At 42.8% G+C, this 23,349-nt stretch overlaps 2 long non-coding RNA genes across 2 annotated transcripts, besides 4 other annotated features; one reads left to right on the forward strand and one right to left on the reverse strand.

Annotated features, from left to right (window-relative positions):
- The first annotated feature begins 27 nt into the window (after positions 1–27).
- LOC124904261 (uncharacterized) lies at positions 28–5,621 on the forward strand. The gene is made up of 2 exons (XR_007066306.1): positions 28–3,528; positions 3,629–5,621. It is a non-coding gene; the product is annotated as an uncharacterized LOC124904261 (long non-coding RNA).
- On the reverse strand, positions 3,835–23,103 carry LOC124904260 (uncharacterized). Its single transcript, XR_007066305.1, has 3 exons — positions 12,196–23,103; positions 10,124–10,256; positions 3,835–6,276 (listed from the first exon to the last, which is right to left on the reverse strand). It is a non-coding gene; the product is annotated as an uncharacterized LOC124904260 (long non-coding RNA).
- Positions 14,901–16,100: an enhancer, noted in NCBI's record as "P300/CBP strongly-dependent group 1 enhancer chr18:20047531-20048730 (GRCh37/hg19 assembly coordinates)". NCBI's record gives its function as "activates an origin of replication core promoter dependent on BRD2, BRD4, P300/CBP, MED14 and CDK7 cofactors, with strong dependence on P300/CBP, by STARR-seq in HCT116 cells {active_cell/tissue: HCT116}" and the evidence as "EXISTENCE:reporter gene assay evidence [ECO:0000049][PMID:35650434]".
- Positions 15,299–15,593: an enhancer, noted in NCBI's record as "tiled region #6476; HepG2 Activating non-DNase unmatched - State 23:Low, and K562 Activating DNase unmatched - State 5:Enh". NCBI's record gives its function as "activates a minimal TATA promoter and a strong SV40 promoter by Sharpr-MPRA in HepG2 and K562 cells {active_cell/tissue: HepG2 | K562}" and the evidence as "EXISTENCE:reporter gene assay evidence [ECO:0000049][PMID:27701403]".
- Positions 17,014–20,274: an enhancer, noted in NCBI's record as "VISTA enhancer hs1667". NCBI's record gives its function as "enhancer in: heart[5/6]" and the evidence as "EXISTENCE:transgenic organism evidence [ECO:0001131][PMID:17130149]".
- Positions 17,939–18,233: a silencer, noted in NCBI's record as "tiled region #6400; K562 Repressive non-DNase unmatched - State 7:EnhWF". NCBI's record gives its function as "represses a minimal TATA promoter and a strong SV40 promoter by Sharpr-MPRA in K562 cells {active_cell/tissue: K562}" and the evidence as "EXISTENCE:reporter gene assay evidence [ECO:0000049][PMID:27701403]".
- Positions 23,104–23,349: the final 246 nt, after the last annotated feature.

The raw sequence follows: 23,349 nt of genomic DNA on the forward strand, positions 1-23,349 counted from the left end.
GTTGCCCACGCTGGTTGCAAACTCCTGGGCTCAAGGGATCCTCTCACCTCGGCCTCCCAAAGCACTGGAATTAACAGGAGTGAGCTACTGTGCCCAGCCAAGCTTGTTATTTTCTTAGGGAGAGGACATCTTAGTGGCAAGAGCACATGTCTTGCATTGGTCTCCAGCAGATTTGAACTCATCCTACCTCTGTGCCCTCAGGGAATCTTCCCAACCTCTCTACATGGAAGCATCCTCATCTGTGACATGAAGCAAAGAACAGTGCCTTCCCGTGCAGGCTCTTTTTGGGATTACACCAGAACATAGGCATGCTCAATAAATGGCAGCTATTTGCATTTACAGGCTCACAATCTCTTCTCTATAAAATCCCAGATCCAAAAAAATTGAAAACCGAAAGGGTTTTGGTAACTCATTTGACAACAAAGACTGGTCGGATCTAAACTCATTTGACAGTTAAAGCTGAACTGAATTGCTACTAGACTATTTATGTTGTATAGTTATAGTTAAATATTTAGCTGCAGAAATATAAATATGTTTGATTAGGGGATGCTACTCCAGACCCCAATAGGGGATGTTACATAATATGCAGTATGTACACATTTCTTCTCTGAAATCTGGACAATTCTAAATCATGTTGGTTTAAAAGGTTTCAGAAAAAAGATTATAGACCTATACTGTGGTGAATCTCAGGCCCACGTCCCTCATCAGGAGCAGCATGGCTCTTACATGGAATCCTGGCCTTAGAACCCAAGTAAAGCGTCAGCCTCAGAATAAGGCTCCCCCTGTTCTGTAGAGCCTTGGCTCCATCAGCCCTGCTCAGAAAAATGGCAAGGAGGAGCCCGATTTATTAGCTGTTAATGCTGTTGTGCAATAATCTTGATCTCCAAGTTGCAAAAACCCAGTTGGAAGAGAGAAATCTAAAGCGATCAGAATGACTACTATACCAACTACAGAAAATATACGAGTTTCATGAGAAGTTTCAGGAGTCAGACTGACACTAAAGTTGATGGAATTTTAAGAAAAAGAATGCTACTTCTATTTAGCATTAAGTTATTTTTCTTCTATTGTAGTTTAATTGTGGTCCTATCTGAAGAAAAGCTGGACTTGAAGCCAGGATTTGGGGCATAAGGGTATGACAGTGGCAAGCCCCTGTGTCAGCAGCTTTCACAGAACAAGGAGAAAGTAAGATCAAGTTGCAACTGGAAATCTGGGTGCACAGGTACCAGAAAGGAAGATGCTCTAGCTGGGGAGTCAGGATTTAGGGGGTCAGGTGGGAGGGGAGGGCAAGTGGGGAGGTAAGAATGTTTAGCCATGAAATTTGGAAGAGGTGAACTTGGTAAAGAGGAAAGAGGTGTGTGTAGGGATAGGCAGGGCCATCCCTGTTGCTGTAAGTGGATGTCTGTGCTGCACACATACCTTACTGGTCCACATTGTCCCCCTCACCGGGAACCTACTGGAATATCCACACCTGCACCTGCCATGGTGAAGCCGGAAATGCACTCTCCCCAGCCTTGGTATATCTTGAGCCCAGGACAGGGCACAGGTAACTATCATCCAAGCTCACTTTCAACACATTGCTGTGCCCTCTTTCTGGGTTGCTGAGGTCCACCTGCAGGAGGCTAGGAGGGTGACCCCAGAGTCCCCGTGCTGGAGTGTGAATCCCAACGCTGTATGACCCTGGTCAGGTTACTTCATATCCCTGAGTTCAGTTTCCCTTTTCATAAAATGGGATGATAGCCACTGCACCTGACTCCTGGAGTTCCGTGAGGGTCATATGAGACAGTTCCTGTAAAGCTGATGTGGGACCCAGCACATGGTGATTTCCCCATCCGTGTACCCAGTGCCCACTGCTTGGTGGCAGCTCCAGGGCTTCCAGCCATGCCAAGCAGCCCATCTTGTGCAGATATCTGCAATCCCAGGTAAGATGATTGAACCTTAAATAAATAACAGCATTTTATTTTAGGGTCTCCTGGCCAGTAGCTGTTCATTTGGAGACTCATTATTTTCTTGATCATATTAATTTAAGCTCTCAGTCCCCAAATCTCTCAGCTAAGTACCTTTGCTACTTCCTACTTTTTTACTCACAGCAAACTCATGCCTGGCTCCTCTTTCCAGCCTTCAGTTGTAGTAGTATCCATGAGAGTCCCAGTTGTGCAGTTTTGCTTTGAAAGGATTAACAGAGTGGAACCGGGACTGCAGTTACAGGCAACAAGGTGGCACCGCGTCTAAGATGCCTGCTCTTTTGGGATTCTTTCAACACTTCCAAGTTTTATTGGCATAAATGATTTTAAGAACCTTTTTTCCACTTCAGATAAGAAGTTCTAAAACAGAGGCCGTTCGAACGATACCCTTTAGGATTAGAAAAATGTTCACTTTGCCTTTTCTCTCCTTCTTTGTTACGTCTTGTTTCTTATTTACACTGAGAGAGGTTTCTTTGACTCTCAGAGCACCCGCCTTTATTTCATGCTTCCAGTGCAGCTGCTTCATCCAAAATGAGGAAGGGTTGCAATGGAAGAGAACTCAGAGGAGGGCTGGAGACAGGACCACTGTACCACCTGGGTCTTGGAAGCTGCCTTCCAAAGACTGGCCCAGACACAGCAGAAGGATTACTTAACATGGCCTTTATCACTTCCGGGGCATGTGGAATGCTGAATCCTAATTCTAAAATGAGTCCTGAAATTGTTTCAGTAAAATTCATCATTAAGGACTTAAAAAATAGGAGATGAGAAGTAGGAGATGTGAAAGAATAAATCCATGGAACACACATGACAGATTTAGCAAAAATTAAAAATTTCTTCACTTTGACACTTACCTGAATGCCACCCAGAGAAAATTCAGCACATGTGCCAGGCATAGTGACAAGCACAGTATGACATCATTCTATTGTGAATCTCACAAGGTGCCTGTTATGGCTCTGGTGACTTGCCTCAGACAGAAGAGAAAGCTGAGGCTCAGAGCAGTTAGGGAGGCAGGTCTGTGTTGGAGCCAGGATGCAAATACAGGGCTGTCTGTCCCCACAGCCTGTACCTTGCTGTGTGCCTTCCTCAGTCAGCACAATTTTATGGGACTAAGCGTTTTAGTCATGATACAACAGCAACAGTGAATTCAGAAATGTAACTAGATGTTCTTTCTTCTTTTTAAATTAAACTATCTCATATTTGCTCCTGTTTGATCCCTTTTGCAATTTTTATTCATTTATTTTCTTATTCACTCATTCACTCATTTGGCGCTCTCTCTCTTTCACACACACACACACCCACACACACACACACACACACACACACACATGAATAACTACTAAAGTCATTGTCCTTGAAGAATTTAAAGTGGAATCTGTTTAAAGTTTGCTCCAAGGTGTAGATTCATGCATTTTACCGGAAGATAAGAGGAAAAAGAAAAAGGAGAGATAAAAGCAGTTTGGAGACAAAGGGAAGAGATGACATCTTACAAGTATAAAGCCTGTTCAATAAAATGTGATTTCATGATTGTCATTTGACAACATCCCTGGCTTTTGTTTGTTTGTTTCTGGTAAGTAAGGAAACAAATGACCAATGACCACATCCCTGTTGTTTGTAAGCTGCACTGTGAATTCTTGTGAAGAACAGTGTAAAAACTTCTCTGTTTACAGGGTAGAGACAAATTTACTTTCCATTTCTGATAACAACGGAGTCAGTCTTCCCTGCTGCCGAGGATTTTTTGAAACAGCGTGAATACTGCTCCTTCGCATTTCTGAGAGAGGGCAGAACCGGGTCATCGTGTTGCTTGACAGAGGGCCATGATAACTGTCTACAGATATTTAAAGGGTGTAAATGAAGACTTGATTGCTTTAAGATATCTTGGTACTAACTTCGTTTATTAAAGATGCAAAAGATTTGGGTGAGGTATGTCAGAGCCCCAATCCTTCAGAAACATTTTACAGGGCTGGGGGTATGACCCACCCAGTGAGTGGAACTTGAGCCCTGAGTGGAGAGGGCCTTTGGGGACTGTATCAGGGAGGAGGACACAAAGCCGTGGATGAGACCGGTCTCATCGTGGCCTCTGCAAAGACCTCGCAAGGGAGGACAATCACAACATAATGGCATTCCAGAGCAGTGGAAGGTATTCATTAGCACTCCAGTGAGGAGAGAGAAAAAACAGAAGGAGGAACAGAGAGGAACAGACTCAAGCTCAGGGAAATGGACATTATCCAGCTTGTTGACAGAGACCTCATTCCGTTTCATTCTTGACTCTGCCTGTCCACCTTTCTCGTGTGTCTCTGTTCTTTGCATCTTCCATGGAAACACGGGATGAGAACAGGGTGAAGGCTCTCAGAGCAGTTAAATTGTATTCCTTTTTGGCAACTCTAGTGAAATCCTGTCTGATGAATTTGGAACTATTGATTGCGATAAAGTTATTAATATTAAAGTTTCTTGGAACACTTGTGGATATCACTTATCCAGATAGCAGGTCCCCAGTTAATATAGATGATTGAATTTGGGAGATAAATGCACTATTCTGGGGGGCAGGAGGTGCTGTCGCAGAAGAAAATGAAAACACGTGGAAAGGAATCATGTCAAGCTTAACATCCAAGTTGAAGGCCAACTATACGGAACTTAGATTTTTTAATAACCTGTAAATGGTCTCAGAGGAATGGTGAATTGCTGAAGTCTTTTGAGTGGAGTAAGTCACATAATTAAGAGATTATTTGTAACAGACTCAGTCAACTACAGGGTATTATTCAAAGCAAAAACCAAACCAAACCAAACCCTCTGGATCAGAAGGCACGAAGATGTAGACAGCGTCTCTTATGCCTTATGTAGGAAGTGCCTAATGATTTCTTTGCAAATTCTGACTAGTATAAGTCCTAAACAAGAGGCAAATGTCTTAGTGTCGTCCAAGTGCTATAAATGAAGTTAAATGGGAACATACGGTTAACATTTCTATAGGACTGTATGTTTGCCAAAAGGTTAATAATCACTTGTTCCTTAATATTCATAACATCCCTCTAAAGCAGAATTTCCCACACTGGGACTGGGAGGCCTCAGGGATGGTGGAGGAATTTCAAGAGGGTCATGGGGATTGGAGCTGTAGTATTTCAAACAGCTCTCCAATGGTGATGGAAAATTGCGGGCTGCAGGAGGGAGGTACGGAGTTCCCGGCACCCTGTGTTCACTGGGCAAGTCCCCCTGTGAGGCCTGGGGCCCCTTGTCGGGACCAGACCTGCTTCGTTGCAGGAATCCTAGGATTCTTTTTCCACTCTCCCGTCCTCATGTCAGTGCCAGCTCCCACTCTAGGCTCTGGAGGCTTCGGGGCCTGTTTTGAATCCCAGATTTGATCCTTGCTTGCTGGATGACTCTGGCAAGTTTCTTACCCTCTCTGAGCCTTGAGTACAACACTGAAGAATGTTGGATGATCACTTACATGGTGCAGTTGTGAATAAGATATCACCTTTAGCACATTATCAGCGTCCAATGATTAATAGTAGTAGTTATTTGTTCCCTTTGTCTTTCCAGGTACTTCTTGGATGTTTCAGAAAACAACTACAAGAATCTTTTCATTTTGAGGACTGTCCTCTGAATCTCTGATGAAAGCAAATAGGAGATACATACCCATGGAACAATACAAATAAATAGATAACATCACAAATATTTCAATATTTCAATACTCAATAGAGTACATTGATATCATCAAGCTTAATCAACCCTGCACAGTTTATTGCTTCTGACTGCCTTGCAGACATAGGTCACCGAAAACTATGTTTGACCTGTGCCCCTGATTTTACCCCTAAAGACTCCAGCTTTAGCAGAGGCTGGTGACTTTTGTTTTCCAGGACAGTCTATTTTCCTGGGTGATATAATTAAAATATGATAAGATTTTTTTTTTTGAAGGACAATAGGGAGTCTTTGTCCCAAAAAGAAAATCTACACCTTCAGGTGTGCCTGTGGCCACTGCATCAGGACCCCGCCCTTCACACGCGTTATTCCATTCTGAAAATGTCCGAACACTTTCTTATTTTCCATGTCCCAGTCTTTAAACTGGATTGAAGGAGGAAGTTGAAGCTACAGCATTTGATGAGAGTGGTAATGAGGGTGGCATGTGCAGTTCAACTGTAGCTTCTTACTATGTAGAGTATCCGTGTTCTAAAGCGAAGCCTTGTGTGATCACAGTTCCAGAAAACTGAGGAATTCAATGACTCAGATACTCAGTAACAATTAAAAAGTTCTTCATTTAGTGTTTCAGCAGAGCGGGGAGGAGACAGATTTCCTCCTGTGCAGCCCTGCTTAAGGCGGCCAGTCCCTGCAGGAGGAGAAGCAGATCTCAAAGTTGTCCCTCATCCATACAACATTATATTTAAGGAGAATTCCTGCTAGCTTAGAATATAACTCTGGCCACCACCCACTTCCCCATCCAAATGTCTTGCAGATAGCTAATTCAGAAAGCCCGGACCTGACTTAGAGATGGGTAGTATTCAAAAAGGAACACACACAGTATCTATAGATGAAAAGAGAATGAATGAAACAAGAAAAGCAAATAAATTAGGTTTAAAAAAGCTTTACAGCCGGGGGCGGTAGCTCACGCCTGTAATCCCAGCACTTTGGGAGGCCAAGGCGGGCGGATCACGAAGTCAGGAGATCGAGACCATCCCGGCTAACACCGTGAAACCCCATCTCTACTAAAAATACAAAAAATTAGCCAGGCATGGTGGCAGGCGCCTGTAGTCCCAGCTTCTCGGGAGAATGGTGTGAACCCAGGAGACGGATCTTATGGTGAGCCGAGATTGAGCACTGCACTGCAGCCTGGCTGACAGAGCAAGACTCTGTCTCAAAAAAAAAAAAAAAAAAAAAAAGCTTCACTAGAAAAATATTGCCACAAAACAGATGACATTTATGACCCAACATACTTTCATGAATTTAAAAAGAAAAGAAAAAACTTAGTGAAACAATCGCCTTTAAAAAACAGGAGCTCAAAAAAACATATACAGTAGTTTAGGAAATATTTAGCAAGACAATGGGAAGTGAAACATAAGTTGGCAGAACTTAGCAAAAATGACAACCTAGAAACCAAGACCACAGTGGAAGCAGCAGAACGGAGACTCAGATTCTGCTGGAAACTGACCATATCCAAGTCCACAAAGAACATGTTACTAAACTTCAGAAATTAGACTGAGTCCAGAAAAGCTTCTCTGATCACAAAGCAATTCATTTAAAAACTAATAATAAAATAAGGAAGGAGAAAAATTCTACCACCTGGAAATGCTAAAATATTCTTTCATGTGCAACTCTTCCATTAGGGATATATTTTTAAAAATAAAAATAATTAAGGGTTATATTTTTATAAATGAAAATAATTAAGCTAGTACATATCAGAACCTATGGGACAGAGCTAAAGCAGAATTCTGGAAAAAACTTAAAGGTTTAATATTTATATTAATTTAACTGAAAGAAAGAAAACACCTAGGTATATATTTTTTAAAGCTAACATTTTGGTAAAAAGGAATGTGAGATGTGGGCAAAAAAAAAGAGATAAAAATAATTTTGAAAAGTGTAAGAGTAAAAATTTAACACAAAGTGTAAGTCATATAAAATGTAACTTTAAAACGTTATTGAGGAGAAAAAAATGAAAGAAATGGAAAGGCATGACATATTCTTAAGTAGGAAGACTTAAAGCAAAAAATTTAACTCTCCCAATGATATCTATAAATGGAATTTGAAGCCAATAAAAATATAGGATTTTAAAAAGCTAGATAAGCTGTTACTAAAACTTATAAGAAAAATCAACAGACATTCCATGTCTGGTAATAATGGACTTAGTTATTTAGATTAATTCTTGCAGTTAAAACAATGAATATTTGGATAACATATTAAACAAACTTGATTTTAAAAGCACTGAAAAGCTGACAAGATAATCAGGACTTCCCAAGTGATTAGGTTTTGCCCTGATTGGATTTTGCCCGTGGTTGATCAGGTTAAGTTGAGTTGGCTGTGGTTTTCATGGACTCTCAGAATGAAGAATACGGAAGTCAAAGGCCAAGACTCACCCAAGGTAGGAAGGAGGGTCTCATAGGAGACTCTTGCCTCACATTAAGCTGTGAGTCTGAAGGGGTTCACCTTCAGGGTAAGGACAAACCAAAGGTGAACCTGCTCCCCTTCCCACTACCCCAGGGGACCATGGGAGAGTTACCTTGACACTAAGCAAAGCAGAGAAAAGAAAAAGAAAACCCGTCCCTGATAGGACGTCATCACTGAATCATTGGCTGGCAGTATTTGCCCATATGCTGCTCAAATACATGTCTTTGGGATGAGCCAAGAAACTTTGAGCTATGAATTTAAAGTGATACACAACTACAGTACCCCCAAGCACCTGGCAGAAGCAAGCTCTAATCATCTCTGGAGGCAGATACTTTCATCCTAGGCCTCGAGGATTTTGTATAAATGGTTTCTCAAGGGCAGTAAGCAGTACAGTTGAAGATTACTAAACTCAGAAAACAAAGCACCAATAGTTAATGTCAGCAAAATAGACAGCAGAGGCGAGTTAGACAACTGCAGCTGTTTGAATGACCAGACACAGAGTACAAAGAGCTATGTTAATTTTATTTAAATAAATGTAAGGTAAGCTTTAAAATATCTGCAAGAAATAGTCAACAATAAAAATTGACATTGTGGGTTAGAAAAAGATCAACTAGCACTTCTAAAATTAAAAATAGAGTAACAGAAATTGAAAAGTCAGTGAATGGGTATGGTGGCAGATTAGACACTGTGGAAGACAGAATTAGAGAACTGAAGATAATGTGAATAAATTATACAGAATTATAGTGCAAAGAGGCAAAGAAATGAAAAATATAGGAGAGTGGTAAAGAGACGTAGAGGACAGAGAGAGAAGGTCTCTTTTTTCCAAGATGGTCTTTCTTCTCTTTCAAAAGTGTAATTGTTATTTCAGAAGATGAGAAAAAAGTGAGGTGGTAGGTTATTGAAAGAACAATAATAACTATTAAAGATAAGTGAAAAGAAATTTGCATCAAGGCACATCACAAAGAAATTGCAGAATACATAAACAAAGAGAAAATCTAAAAAGCAGCTAGCTAGAGTTGGGGTGCAGTGGAGTGTGATGATTAATGAATAAGACTACCCTACCAGGTGTCAAATGCATTGTAAAGTGGTATCAATTAACACCTCATGGTATTGGTATACGGGTAAGTAGATAGAAATATATATGGTAAACTAGTATATAACAGAAGTTGGTAGCTTAAATCAGTAGAGAAAAGGCAGCTTAAGTCAATAAAGGACACTAAAATATATAGACCTCTGAAAAAATATGTATATACTGAGATTCCAATGAACCCAAAATTTAGAAAGAAAAAAACCTCAGAAGAGTACTAGAAGAAAAAAAAAGAAGATACTTTAAAAATAAATTCAGAATAGTAAAGGCTTTTCTACATATAATAAAAAACTGAGAAACCATAAAATAATATATTGATAACTTTCACTACCCCCAAAATTTTAAGTGTGTCTTGTATTATAATATTATATAATATACAGTTATATAATAGTATTATACATGAATAAAAGCAATGAACTGGAAAAAACATGTGCAACTCATTCACTGATTAAAGATAAATTCTTTTTAGATGTGAAGAACTTATACAAATCACTGTGCAAATATTAATCAAATGTAAGATGGCCAAAAGCTCTAAAGCATTTCACCAAAATAAAATAACATAAAATAAAACTATCTTCCAACCATATAAAAAGATACTCAATTTCATTCATAAAAAGGGAAATGCAAATTTAAACTAAAATGTAGTACTACTGCTCAATTATCAAACTGGCAAAGATAAAAACATTTGACAGTACCTTGTGTTGGCTGTGATGTAAGGAAATGTGTTCTCTCATGCATCACTGGTGAGAATGTAACTTGCACTATCTTCTAGGATCAAGATTTTAAATCACGTGCCCTTTGACCCAGCACCTTTTCTTCTAGGAATTTATCTTACAGTTATATTCACAAATACATGGAATGAGCTCACAATCATTCATTACAACATTGTAAAAAGCGAAAGCTTAGAAACAACCTAAACGTTTGTCTATGGGGGTCTTATTAGCCTCCCGCCACAGTTTGTTTTTTATTTTTCTGTCTTACTACTCACATCCACATTACATGGCACACTTATTCTAGCTCTCGGGGCTCTGAACAGTCCCAGGTTTCCAGGCTTGTAGGATATCAGGAGAGGAGAGAGATGCTGCTAAAGGTAGAACCAGTGACAATGGGCAGCTGTTGGCCTGAAACGAAAAGACAGATAAAGTACAGAAACATCCAAAGAACTTTAAAAAACCACAGTTCTGTAATACCATACACGATTTGAATTTCTGTCCTTTTGTTCCTGTAAAATCTTTGCAAGTGTTTTAAACCTCCTGACATGCACATTCATCTTTATTTAGGCTTCTACTCAAATGGTCCACCCTTCTTTCTTCTCAAACAGCCCATCAGAGGCTCATTCCTGAGCTTTGATCTGTTGCAGTGACCGATCCTGTCAGCTCTTCTCCTGTGGCCATACCGCTACCCCTTCTCTCTCTCAAGGCTCTCTCCTCACGGTGTGACGCTGCTATCCAGGGCCCCTTCCCCTTGGGATGCCCTGTCTCCACTTTGCTGACAGCACTCCTGGTGGCCCCCAGGCTCTGCCCTCCTTTTCTGTCTTCTTCCTGGAGTCCCTCTCTCCTGGTGCTGTAGCCTGCTCCTGTAGCTCCACATGCCATTTGCAATGCACCCGTATCCCCAAATCCAAAGCACCCTCTCTCTGTGAATTTTATCTCTAATTTTAGTTTTCAGTTAAAAACTGTTTTTAACCCAATCTTTAAAGTGCCTTGCAAATGCTCTTCCTCTGCATGAAGCCGTCCTTATTCTCGCAGTTGGGATTGTGGCAGCCCACCTCCCAATCCCTGCCCATGCTTTCTCATGGGTGTAATACTAACCCCCAGGGGGCAAAAATGGGTTCTTGGAAGAAGGAGCAAAAAATTCTGTTCCTTTAATGTACAAGTACAGACTACATATAGTATATCAACAGACATATGGTATATCTGTGATGTCAGAGTCTCCTGGGGGCAGGGCAATTAGGAAAAAAAATTCTTAAAAGGCTCCTTATGAAGGGGTGATCATGAAAGGAAGGTTGAGAAACACTACTCTTGACATTTGCACCAAGATGTCAAGGACACACACCAAGCCCATCTTGTTCAAAACCTAATGAGCTCCCCTCCCTCATCTCACTCCTGATTCCCCAACCCACACCGCCCATACCCTTGTCACAGCTAATGTCATGGTCAGTCAGCCAGTGCCCATGCCAGGGTCCTTAGTGATAGTTGGCGCACTTTCTGTCCTCACATCCCATATCTAATCACGCTGTATCAGTCCGTTTTCATGCTGCTGATAAAGACATACCCGAGACTGAGTAATTTATAAAGAAAAATAGGTTTAATGAACTTACACACAGTTCCACGTGGCTAGGGAGACCTCACAATCATGACGGAAGGTGAAAGGCACATCTTACGTGGTGGCCAACAAAGGGACAATGAGAGCCAAGTGAAAGGTGTTTCCCTTTATAAAACCATCAGGTCTCGTGAGACTTATTCACTACCACAAGAACAGTATGGGGGGAACTGCCCCCATGATTCCATTGTCTCCCACTGGGTTCCTCCCACAACACATGGGAATTACGGGAGCTACAATTCAAGATGAGATTTGGGTGGGGACACAGCCAAACCATAACACATACCAAGCCCTCCAGGTTGTACTGCCACTTTCTCTCTTGCACCTGTCCCTCATGCCATGCCAGCCACCTGCCTGAGTTTAGGGCCAGGTCACCTCTTGCCTGGATCACTGCAATGACCTTCCAAATCGTTTTCACCCCCTCCCCACTCTAATCTATCTGTCATTCTGCCACTAGAGAGAACTTTCTAGAGCACAAACTCATGATTTAATGTTCATGTATTTGAAGTTTGATTTCAGTTTGCTTCAAATAGAAAGTCTCTAGAATAAAAGACAAGTCCACCAGCATTTTTCCAGATCCCTTTCCTGTATTCCTCTACAGTCATGCTGTATTCTACCACAGTTGACTGCTGTGCCTTCCCTGGAATTCATTCTATATGTTCATATCTTTCTGCCTTTTTTTGTATCAAATCTCCTCAGAATTCCTTTTTCCACTCTTTTCACCTGAACTATTCTTACCTCAAGGCCTGCTTAAATGTTCCATCTTCTGTTGAGTCTTGCCTCATGTGATTCCGGGCAGAAACACTTGCTGCTTTCTTTCTGCTTCTGCAGTGCAACACACGTGTTTATATAACAGGGAATGGACCACATTGCTTTTCAGTTGTCCTCCTTCTATGTAAATTTGAAGAAGGATACTTATCAAATTGACACAGGTTTTGAGAAAAATACTCTTACGTGCAAAGTGTTGTGCTGGACATTGGAACAGTAGAAGTGAATAAAGAAGGCTTGCCTTCATGAAGTTTAAAATCTGGTGGGAAAGACATGTATTCAGCAAGTCATTTTAACAAATAATCATTTAAATACTGCTGTGAGAACTGCCACAGTGGAAAGATATAGGATGCTATGAAAGAAAAAACAGAGAAATCCACCTTCCCCCAAAGGGGTCGACACAGCTTTTCTGGAGAAAAGGTCTTTAAACTAAGACCAGAATGAGTTAGCTGGGTGAAGAATATATTCCAGGGTGAATATATTTTGGGCAGAGGTAATAGCCCTTGAGGATACCTTGTGATAAGAAAGAGCCTGAGATCATTGAAGACCAGAAATAACAAAACAAACAAACCAATATACAAACAAAAAGTGGGTGTACAGGTAATAAGAGAGAGGTGTGGCATGACACCACCGAATGGATTTATGACGAAAGGAGTCACTTGCTGAATCTGAAAGGGAAACTTCATCTTCTCTGCCTCCTGGCACCACACAGATAGGCCACTGACCTGGGTCCACATGGCAATGTTTTTGTCCTTTTTGTCATATTGCCTGAAATATAGACTCAGAAATATTTTTTTCTATGACCAAAAAATTGCTAAAAATTCTGATAGAAATGGATGATTCAGGCCCAACACCTTCTAGAAGTACTCCAATTTCGGTATGTGCTGTTTTGAGAGCCCACGTCTTACACAAGTGTCTAACAGCCATGTGAGGTGTGATTTTTCAGGATATCACCTTGATGCATGGTAACATGGCCCCATAATGAATAAGAGCATTTTACTGTACCTGAAACTCTGGGGTCAAGTCATATGGCTACGAATGTGGAGCAAAGCAATATGGAAACAATATGTTCAACTTTATGACTAGTAACTCATTGGCTCATGGACAGCTTTGTCCCAGCTTCTCTGGGGGTAGTTTTCCTGCTGCATGGCACACATTTGAGGAGCACTGGAAGTCCCACAGTTTTTCCCACACTACAGTATTCTGAGTATTGCAAGTAGAGATGGAACGGAGAGTGGGTTTGTCAAAATAAGCCAGCCCCACATTGAAAAAGTCACGTGTGCTTGGTGCTATCCACAAACATGAGTCACCCAGGGAGGTATGTAGATGCTTGTGACAAGAGAGGAGAGGCCTAAAAATAACAGTTCCACTGAAGGGTGGAGCTACAGGCTGCTGGTGTGTCATGTTTGGCTGCTGCTTCTGAAAATTCCTTCAGTTAAAGTAGCAAGTGGGATGACAGCTGCAGATACCTGGCTTTCAGGAGAGAAGTGTAGCAGGTATCCATTGAGGGGGGATTTCAGGGTCATGAACTCCTCCTTATTACTTATTTCCTGAAGCTGATGTGTGAAAATCCATACAAGAATCCCACATCTTTAGTTAAAGACTTTGATCCCCAATAAATCAGAACGACAGCACATTCGGCTGTTCTCAGTGACACATTTGAAGGTTGCTGGAGATACAAGGATGCTCAGAGTGTCTTCTTTTACTTTCTTTTAACTTTCTCCTGCTGTTCCATATACTACATGAGGGCAAGGACCTTGTTTGTCCTGTTTTCAGTTCCATCCTCGGTGTCTTGCACAGAGCAGGAGCTAAATAAATATTTGCTTAAGGAAAAATGGAAGGAATGTGTCTAGCCCAGCCCTCTTAGTTTGCAGGCAAGAATACTGAGCAGGGAGAAGAAACTTGCTCAGGATCATGCAACCTATCAGCAGGGGTAGGAGGGAAGCCAGCCTCTGACTCTCCACCCAGTGCTCTCACCTTTCCAACAAGCTAGCAATGACTCAGTGTGGCTAGAAGTGTCTTGTTGAGGGCAAAGACCAAACACGAGGTCTCTGGCTACTAGGCTGAGGTGGACAGTATGGGGCAGCAGTTCTGAGGGGGGCCAAAAGATAGTGAACTTCACTGGGAGGAGGTGACAAAGACAAGGCTTGCCACTGGAGGCTGCCCAGCAAAGTTTCAAGGGCACAGTGGTGCTCCTTTCTGAGCCTGTTGTGTTTGCCTAAATTTGTTTTTAATAAAACCTAGGAGAAAAGCACAAGTTCCTGGAGCAGCAGGGGCTGATGGCTTGTGGTCTGCTCAGGACCACAGACTTCACCTTATGCAGACAGCTCTATGGTCATTAATACTGAAGGCATGTGTGCTTTTTTTGTGTTTTGTGTTTTTCTTTTAATAATCAGACAATAGTTTACATCTGTGCATTGGCGAGGAGTCATGAAGAAGAGCATCCAAACAAAGATGAGAGAAGCCAGACTGGCAAGTGGGCTGGCTGGAAAAGAGAAGAGAAGCCAGACACAGTACTTTGTCTTTAGTCTCCATGGATAAAAATGCTTAAAGTTCACCGTGGGGAGAAGGGAGGGGAGGGAAAGGTCTTGAAGGATTCCCAGTGGATACAAACAATGGTCATTTTTGAAGCCAGTTTGCATTTAGTCTCACACTCTCTTGTCTTAAAACACTTCTGAAGCACAAGGCTTCTGAGAGAGTAGGGCAGTTGCAGGAGCAGCAGGAGGGGGCTGGGGTGGGACTGGGGTGTAGGGAGAGGCCTGAAGGACCCTCCTGGCCCCACATTCCTCAAGGCACCTAACAAGGAAGCAGAACCCTACCTGGTTAGAGGTCCATGTTCCAGAATCGATGGGTTCTACTGCTGTGCCCAGTCAACAGGATACCTAAGCTTTGACTTTGGGTCACTAAAGATTGTTTCTAGACAAAAGCCCTAGCTCACAAGTCTGGGGGCAGCTTGGGACTTTGTTTAGGCCAGGTTTACCAGCTTGGTGTGAGAATAGCATCAGATATTGGTTACAGTGGTGGGATACATTCCAAGACTCCCAGTGGATGCCTGAAACCTCGAGTAGTACTGACCCTACATATACATGCTTTTTCCATGTGAGAACTGAGATGACTACTACGTGACTAAGGGTGGGGAGTTTCTACAGTGTGGATATGCTAGACAAAGGCATGATTCACGACCTGGGCAGGATGACGAGAGATTTCATCATGCTGCTCAGAATGGCACGCAATTTAAAATTTATGGATTGTTTATTTCTGGAATTTTTCATTTAATATTTTTGGACCATGGATGACTGAAGATAACTGAAACCTTGGAAAGTGAAATTGCAGATAAGGGAGATTACTGTACAGGTTTACGTTGACTCAGTCTTCCTACTATGGCTTGAATGTTCGTGTCCCTTCCAAAATTCACAAAATAACATTGAAACGTTATCCCCAAGGCAACAGCATTAAGAGGTGGGGCTTTTAGGAGGTGATTAGGCCATGAGGGCTCTGCCCTTATACATGGGATTAGTGCCTTATAAAAGGGCTGGGGAAAACCAGCTAGGTCCCTTTTGCCCTTCCATCTCTTTCACAAGTTGAACCAACAAGGTGCCATCTTGGAAGCAGAAAGCAGCCCTCACTAGACACAGAATCTGCCAGCACCTCAATCTTGGACTTCCCAGCCTCCAGAACTGTGAAAAACAAATTTCTGTTGTTTATAAATTAGTCTGTGGTATTTTGTTATAGCAGCATGAACAGACTAAGACACTACCCCGGTCTGTGTATTTGGGCATAGAATTAACAATTATTTGATTCTCTCTCCTTGCCACACAGCTGCTGCCAGGGGATGGGGGCAGGGTGGTGTCGGCGATTCAACACTGTCTTTCCTTCTCTCTTCGGTGCCTCTTTCCTTGCTATGGTGTTAAACACAGGTACTGTGATCACTCACCTGACTTTCGGTTCTTATGGCGGTGCTTTCTTGGTGGATGGTGGTTCAATTTGGTGTTCCTTTGGCAAGGTTTGGGTGGGAACCAGTAGCTTTGATCAAGCTACTGCATGGAAAATCCCACAGGGATCAACTTACTTCATGTTATAGCCAGAGCAGGTTCTAGAATCTAGTGCTCAAGCAGCTTGTAGGATTTCAATTTAGAGATTAGGGAAGCTCCATCAGCTGAAGTAGGGTGAGGCTGGTTAAGGAATAGAAATAAAATGGAAGTAGTTCAGATCATTTCTCATTTAAAAAATTTTTTTATTAAAACAAATAACAATCTTCTGATTGATTGTCAAGGACGTGACGGAGTCTGAGAGGCTATATATTTTGAATTCGGGTTGTAAAGCACAGACATCCAAACCAACAGAACTCCCACACACACTTCAGGAATGCAGAGGGTTTTTGTTTGTTTTGGTTTGTTTTTTTTTTTTTTTAAGTTTTAGTAAGAACATTTTCTAAACATATACTGAATAAGGTTGTACTTGATAGTCCTGGTAATGGTAATAATGATAACTGAGAAAAAAGTGGAGAAGTAAAGGAAGCAGAAAAAATTAAGGCAATCCTGACAGCAATTCAGATAGGTAATCTACATAAATTAGTCAGTTTCCTTATCAGAGATTTACATGTTAAAACCACTTGATATAACCCAGCAGGAAATTGAACAAGTGATTCTATGTCCAGACTTGGAAACAAAAATAACCACTCAGGGTCTGCACACATTAGTTTGCTCAAACTTGCGCTGATAAGTCTTTTTGGCTAGAGCTATAGTATGCAGTTTTTAAGAGGGGAGAGTTTGGTTGGAGGATGATTGACACGGAAACAACTGCAAATCCATAATACAGGAAAGATATAAGCTTCAGCGAGTACCTGGATGTCACTGAGATGATGCAGATGCAGAGGGTGACATGCTGCACGGGACTTAGCATTGTTCGTGGTGAATCAAAAAGAAAACCCACCCCATCAGCTCTGTAAAACACATCCAATATCTTAGGCAGACTGACATCTTACATCTGATGCACTCACACAAAGATATTTCACATTCTCATTTTAAATTTGTACCCATTCCAGGGTTTCTTAGTGTTTCCCAGAGAATAAGAATGATTTTGAAATTTGTGACTTGTCACTTTGGGGACAGACACTGCCTGTCAAGCTCTTCAGGCCAAGACCCCAAGGTTCCCCCAGCAGCCCTCAGACGCCCGTCCAAACAGTCTCTCTCTGGTCTCCAAGAGTTCCCGTGCATACCACATGCATATTCTATTTATATGTTTCTTTGTCCTGAACAAGATTTGGCCCCATTGTGTGGGAGCAACACCAGAAAAGAAAAACAAAATCCATCCACCGAGAGAAAATGGAGATTGTGAGAGCTTGGAGAAATTTACATACTTTGCTCATTCCATTTTCCTGTGATGTCAGAGTCAAAGAATATGCCTTTTTTAAAAAAATCACACACACACACACACACACACACACATTTCAAAATGCTGGGACTCACAGCTCTGTCAAGTGTATTGTCATTAAAAGGAGAAATGTAAACACTCTTTTGCCTTTCCCTCCACCCCCTTCTATTCCCCCCATCAGCCCCTAAAAAAAACTAACAAATTAGCCCAGACTCCACTGGACAGAATTAAGGGCCCGTCTGCAAAAGGCCGTGGGGTATTAATGGAGATGGGGCTGAGGCTGGGGCAGGGACGATGTGGAAGTGGGAGGCCGGAATGTGATACTTGAATCTGGGTGACTGGTTCTTTATGGAGGCACAGAAAAGGGCCGGCTGACACTTTACAGATTGAGTGTAATGTTCAGGGAATTTGGCATTTCTGCCACGGGCTCTGGCTGCCCTGGTAACTGCTTTCCTTCTCCCTGCTGGTAAAAGTGCAGGAGAAAAGGGTTAAATAAATGTTTGTGATATGATAAGGTGCTTGTTTATTCAAGGAATGACAGATTATTGGCTCCAAAGGCAGCCCTGAAAAATAGTACAAAGGAACTGGCTCTCCCTTCGCGGATGATGTGATTTCCTCCTGAGATTCTGCTCTTTCCTAGGAACAATTTGCCCTGGGAATTAAGAAAGATGATTTCCCTGCCATCAGATATGAACATGGAGTTGGCGCTGAGGGCTGGAGCCCCAGAAGCTGGCTGGGAACTGGGATGGGCTTGTTTTGGGGAATGACTTTCCTGCAGGGATTTTTCTCTCACTGCCCTCAGGCTGGCCCAGCACAGAGCTCAGCTTCCAGCATCCACGTGCCCTGCTTACTACCCAGAAAGGCTGCAGGGCATCAGCGTGTTGCTACTTCTGAGAGCCTGGGAAAAGAAGTTACGTACTCAGGAGGGGGACTTCTTCCTCAGGAAATCCTGGTGCCAGGTCTGCCTCTAGCCCCAGACTGCTGTGTTCATCCCCTGACCATTCCCACATGGCATGGACACATGTGCCCAGGATGGCATGCATATCTGTCCATTTCCACACCAACACAAGCTGCACTACATGAGCTTTCTCCTGTTGTCCTCTAGTGATTTCATAGCTAGTCCTGCAGGAGAATTCAGTTCCAGATCCCCAAACAATGAGGCATTCACCTAAAGTTGGTGCACTTTTCCTCGGGGAGCAAACATCAGTGGCTGCCAACCCTGAAAATCACAGAGATCTGTACGAGGGGGCCTGTACAAGTGAGCCTAGAAGGGCTGTGACACCTTGCTGTGCACTGTGAGCTGTTCCGTTCATGCCCAGCTTCTGGATGCTGCTCTGAGGTGGCTTCCGCCTGCAGAGCAAGGGTTCTGAGCCCAGCATGCTTCAGCCACAACTCTTCCTTTCCCCTCTCCTGGCCCTGCTTCTGGCATGCCATAGAGAGGTCATTCACATACTTGCTGACTAGAAGGGTTCATACAAGATGTTTGGCATAGTTCTCATTTGAAAAGAACACATTGCCAAAATCAAACACCAAGGGAAAAATAAGTTGTTGTTTAACGGCTGTTTTTCTGGCATCCTAGGAACTACTGTATGATTTTTATAATGGCCCAGTCACTTTATCAGCTGATGTGCTGCTTATTTGTAAGTCATAAGGCATCAGCCTGGGGAACCCAGTGCCCTTCAGACACAGTGACTCAGGTTTGAGCCGACGGCAGGGACGTTATCGAAGGTCCACGGTTGGGCTATTTTTATGATTGCATTCAGTACTAATAGGGCTTTTGGAGTGTACACAGCCATGTGCTCATTGTTGAACTATACAAGATAAGATCCTTGTCCCAAGGAGCTTACTGCCTGACTTTTGCAAAAACCAGATGGCAGAAAATGGTTTCCCTCTGCCCATCAGCAATGATTGAGGGGGTGGAGATGAGAAGCGGTGCAGTCAATTCATAACTCTCCTGGGGTGGGACCTTTGCTTTGGCATTTATCCCATGTGATGTTTTAATCATGGACTATCCTTCCCCATCATCTGCTATTCCATAAGCTGCATCTCCAGGGAGCTCTGAGAATTCAAGCTTATTTGAATATCAACTTAATTAAAGCATCATTAGATCATAAAGCACCATACATAGACACACACATTATGCACATAAACATTTGCAAAAATATCATGGATTTTGAAACTAGCCATAAATGACTTTTGGACTGCCAGTGGGGACATGAGGAAGGAAATGAAAATTGTACCTACTGTGGTGGGTCATATCCGAATCATATGCTGTGATGCTGGATTATGAAGTGCCAGCCGCGATGCCCCAGCAGATCAATTGGGTCTCTGGGACAGTTTCTGCCTGGGTCTGCCTCAGCTGGGAAATGTCCAGCAGAGCACTGTGAATAGGCCCCCACAACCTGCACATCAGTGCCTCTGGCCCCAGAGGAGCTTCCCGGCACCTGGGCATGTCAGTGACCTTATTTCAGGATAGCCCCCTAAGTCTTCAAGCCATTTGCAACTGCATGGGTTTACTTGAAGGCCAAAAATCTATTTCCTATGACATGTGAACAGTCTTACCAAAGGTGCACACACTGGTTAAACCCTGGATGAGCAAGTGTATTTACTCAGCACTTGCTTTGCCTTCATCTGGGCTCTCCGAAAGCAGATTCTTAGGCTGGGATTTGAGTGGGAGCACCAGCCAGGTGGTGAGGAGGGAAGCTAATGTAGGGTGTGGTACGCTACCATGGTATAGCAGTGTAGGTTACTGCTGTGAGCAGCTGAGGCGCCATCCCACTGGGGACATCTGGGAGATGGTGTAGGATGCATCTAGAGCTCTCCCTCCCTAGTGGCAAGGAAGCCAGGACATTGAAACATGAAGTCTTCTTCACCTTTGGCTCAGGGTTAGTCCAGGGACATCAACCCCCAGGCATTGCCTGCCCTGCCCTATCTGCAGGCTCAGCAGATCCCTTAACCAAAAAAGTCCCCAGTGTGGAGACCTGCAGTTGCTGGTGGTGAGGGTCACCAGTATGGCAACGGTAGGGGCCAAGGGACCCTGATGTAGGCAGGGACCCAACAGGGTCTGCCATAGGTTTCCTTCTTTCCTTCCTTCTTTTAAGTGTAAGGAACTCCTTTGAGAGAAGTTGGAGGTATGTACACATTTTCCCAGTGAATGGAGCCAATATTGAGACATCTAGAAAAAGGGAAATGAAAGAAGAGGGGAGAAAAACACAGGATTCAGCTCAGTTTTCCTTTACTCTGGAAAGTCTCCAAGCCCCTCCTCTCACTCTCTGACCAGCGACCTGATGTAAGTGCACCCCCACTCGACACCCATAGCCCTGAATTGTAATTGTCTGTTCATGTGTCATCCTTGCAAACCAAGGCATTCTTTCACTCGTTTGTCTTTATTTCTGTACTCTCTGTACTTACTTGCTTGGCATTGACAGGTGCTTAATTAATCTCTAGAAAATGAATGAAAGGTGGCTTTATTTACATTATTCCACATTTATCTCTACCAAAATTTTAAAGATTTACTCAGGAACAGAAGTTCCAACCTAGTTCCTTTGGACCTTTGTTGGTTGAATTTTAGAGATCTTTTTGTTGTTGTCCTAAACCAGGTGCCAGATCCCTGCAGAGATTTTCCAACATCAGGATTCTTCCTATAGAGAAAAAAGACACTCCCCATGAGGAGTCTGGAGCCCAGTGAAGTGGAAAGCTGAGATGCTCAGGCTGAAAACCATCCCTGAAGGTTAGAGGTCTAGCAGAAAGCAGTAGCTCATTAAACATTCATTTTTAATTTTTGCAAAGACAAAAGTAGAAGGCCACATTATCATTTATCATTCCCTGAAGAGGAGGTAAAAGTATATGACAGAGCAAAACCTGGTCACCACTTCTGACCAAGCCTTTCCTCTTCCAGTATCTATGATTTGGGCTTAATGATGGTTTTCTTTAGTACAAGATCTCTACTCTGCTCTAGATAATCTGATGACACGGTGATGACCTTTGCCTCCATCTCTCCTTCAAGACATTCCACTTTTCTGGTACCCAGAGCTGACCCCTTCCTCGGATGGTACCTACACTGGATTTTCCTACTGGATGGCCAAGATCAGAGTTGTTCAAGGTAAGACTTTCCTGGGCTGTGACATGCCCAGGGGACCCCGCAGATCCCTGTGGGAGGCTCTGGGAATCTTTCCCATTATGGGCAAATGAGAGAACTCATTCATCCACTCCAGAGTTTTTCAACCTACGTGCTATTGGCATTTTGGATGGGAATATTCTCTGTTGTGTGGGGCTGTCCTGTGCCATGTAGGATGTTTAGCAATTTCCCTGGCCCCTACCCACCAGATAATAGCATCACCCCTTCCAAACAAAATGACTGTCTCCAGATATTGCCACATGCCCTGTGGGGTGAAAGATTACCCTTGGTTGAGACCCATTGCTCTAGCCCAAGCCTGATGACAATTAGTAAGATATTGGCTCAAAGGCTGCATTTCTGGGGTCTCTTGGAATCTCCTTGATCTTGCGGCAGGAGTCTCTAGGGTTAATACATTTACCGTCACTGCTATCTTCCGAACACCTATTATATGGCAAACATTGTTTTGGCCCTTGAGATAGAGCTGTTATGTGTAGTAAATGACCCTCTTTATTCCGATGAGGAAATGGAAGCCCAGAAAGACTCTCAGCCAAGGTATTCCAACAACACATGCCTTGCAAATGGTGGGACTAGGATTTAAATTGGGGTCTTTTGACTTCAAAGCCTGTTCTCCTTCTACTCCCGTTCTCCCCTATCTTAATATACACAGTCCATCCCCTCTGAGGAACTGGCTAGAGAAAGTAATTCAGTAGATAGTATATGTTTCCCAAAACGGCCACCTTTGTGACACCCAAGTTCTGAAATATTAGAAATAATACCTTCTAGAACACACACACTTTGAGTATTGACTCACTTACCAAAATCCCTCAAGAGTATTCTCTCTGTGCTGTGGCCCTGAGGAAAGAGGAGTGAGCAAGAATTCCTGTGCTGGAGGAGCTGTTCCGCCAATGGAACATGTGGGCCTGAGAAGCTTCATTTGCAATACATTATGGAATATGCACTATTTAGAAGAGGCCTACAAAGGCATTGGAGTATGAGGTTGTTTGATCTCACAGTATAGGGGTCCTTTGTGCCAAATATGGCCTGTTGCCTACTTTGTAAGGTACAAACCATGACCCGTGGGCCAAATCTAGCCTGCAGCCCATTTTTGTAAGGCATATGAGTTAAGGACGGTTCTTATACTTGTAAAGTTTTGTTTAAAAAACAACAACAACAAACAAAGGAGAATAGGTGACGGAAGCTATATGTGGATCACAAAGCCTAAAATATTTACGATCTGGCTCTTTGCCAAATCCACACTTAGAATGAAAGTAAGTATCTTTGCAGCAATTAGTAGGTGTGTACTTAGAAGATAGGTTAGGCACAGTGGCTCAGGCCTGCAATCCCAGCACTTTGGGAGGCTGAGGCAGGCAGATCACTCAGGAGTTAAAGACCCCGGGCAACATGGTGAAACTTCATTTCTACAAAAAAATACAAAAATTAGTCAGGCATAGTGGCACACCCCTGTGGTCCCAGCTACTCAGGAGGCTGAGGTGGGAGGGTCACTTGAACCTGGCAGGTAGACATTCCAGTGAATCACAGTCACGCCACTGCACTCCAGCCTGGGGGACAAAGCAAGAACCTATCGAAAAAAATAATAATAATTTTTTATCCTAGGTTCACACAATAAAAGCAAT

This window comes from Homo sapiens, chromosome 18, assembly GCF_000001405.40.
Source record: "Homo sapiens chromosome 18, GRCh38.p14 Primary Assembly".
In the NCBI taxonomy this organism is placed as follows: Eukaryota; Metazoa; Chordata; class Mammalia; order Primates; family Hominidae; genus Homo; species Homo sapiens.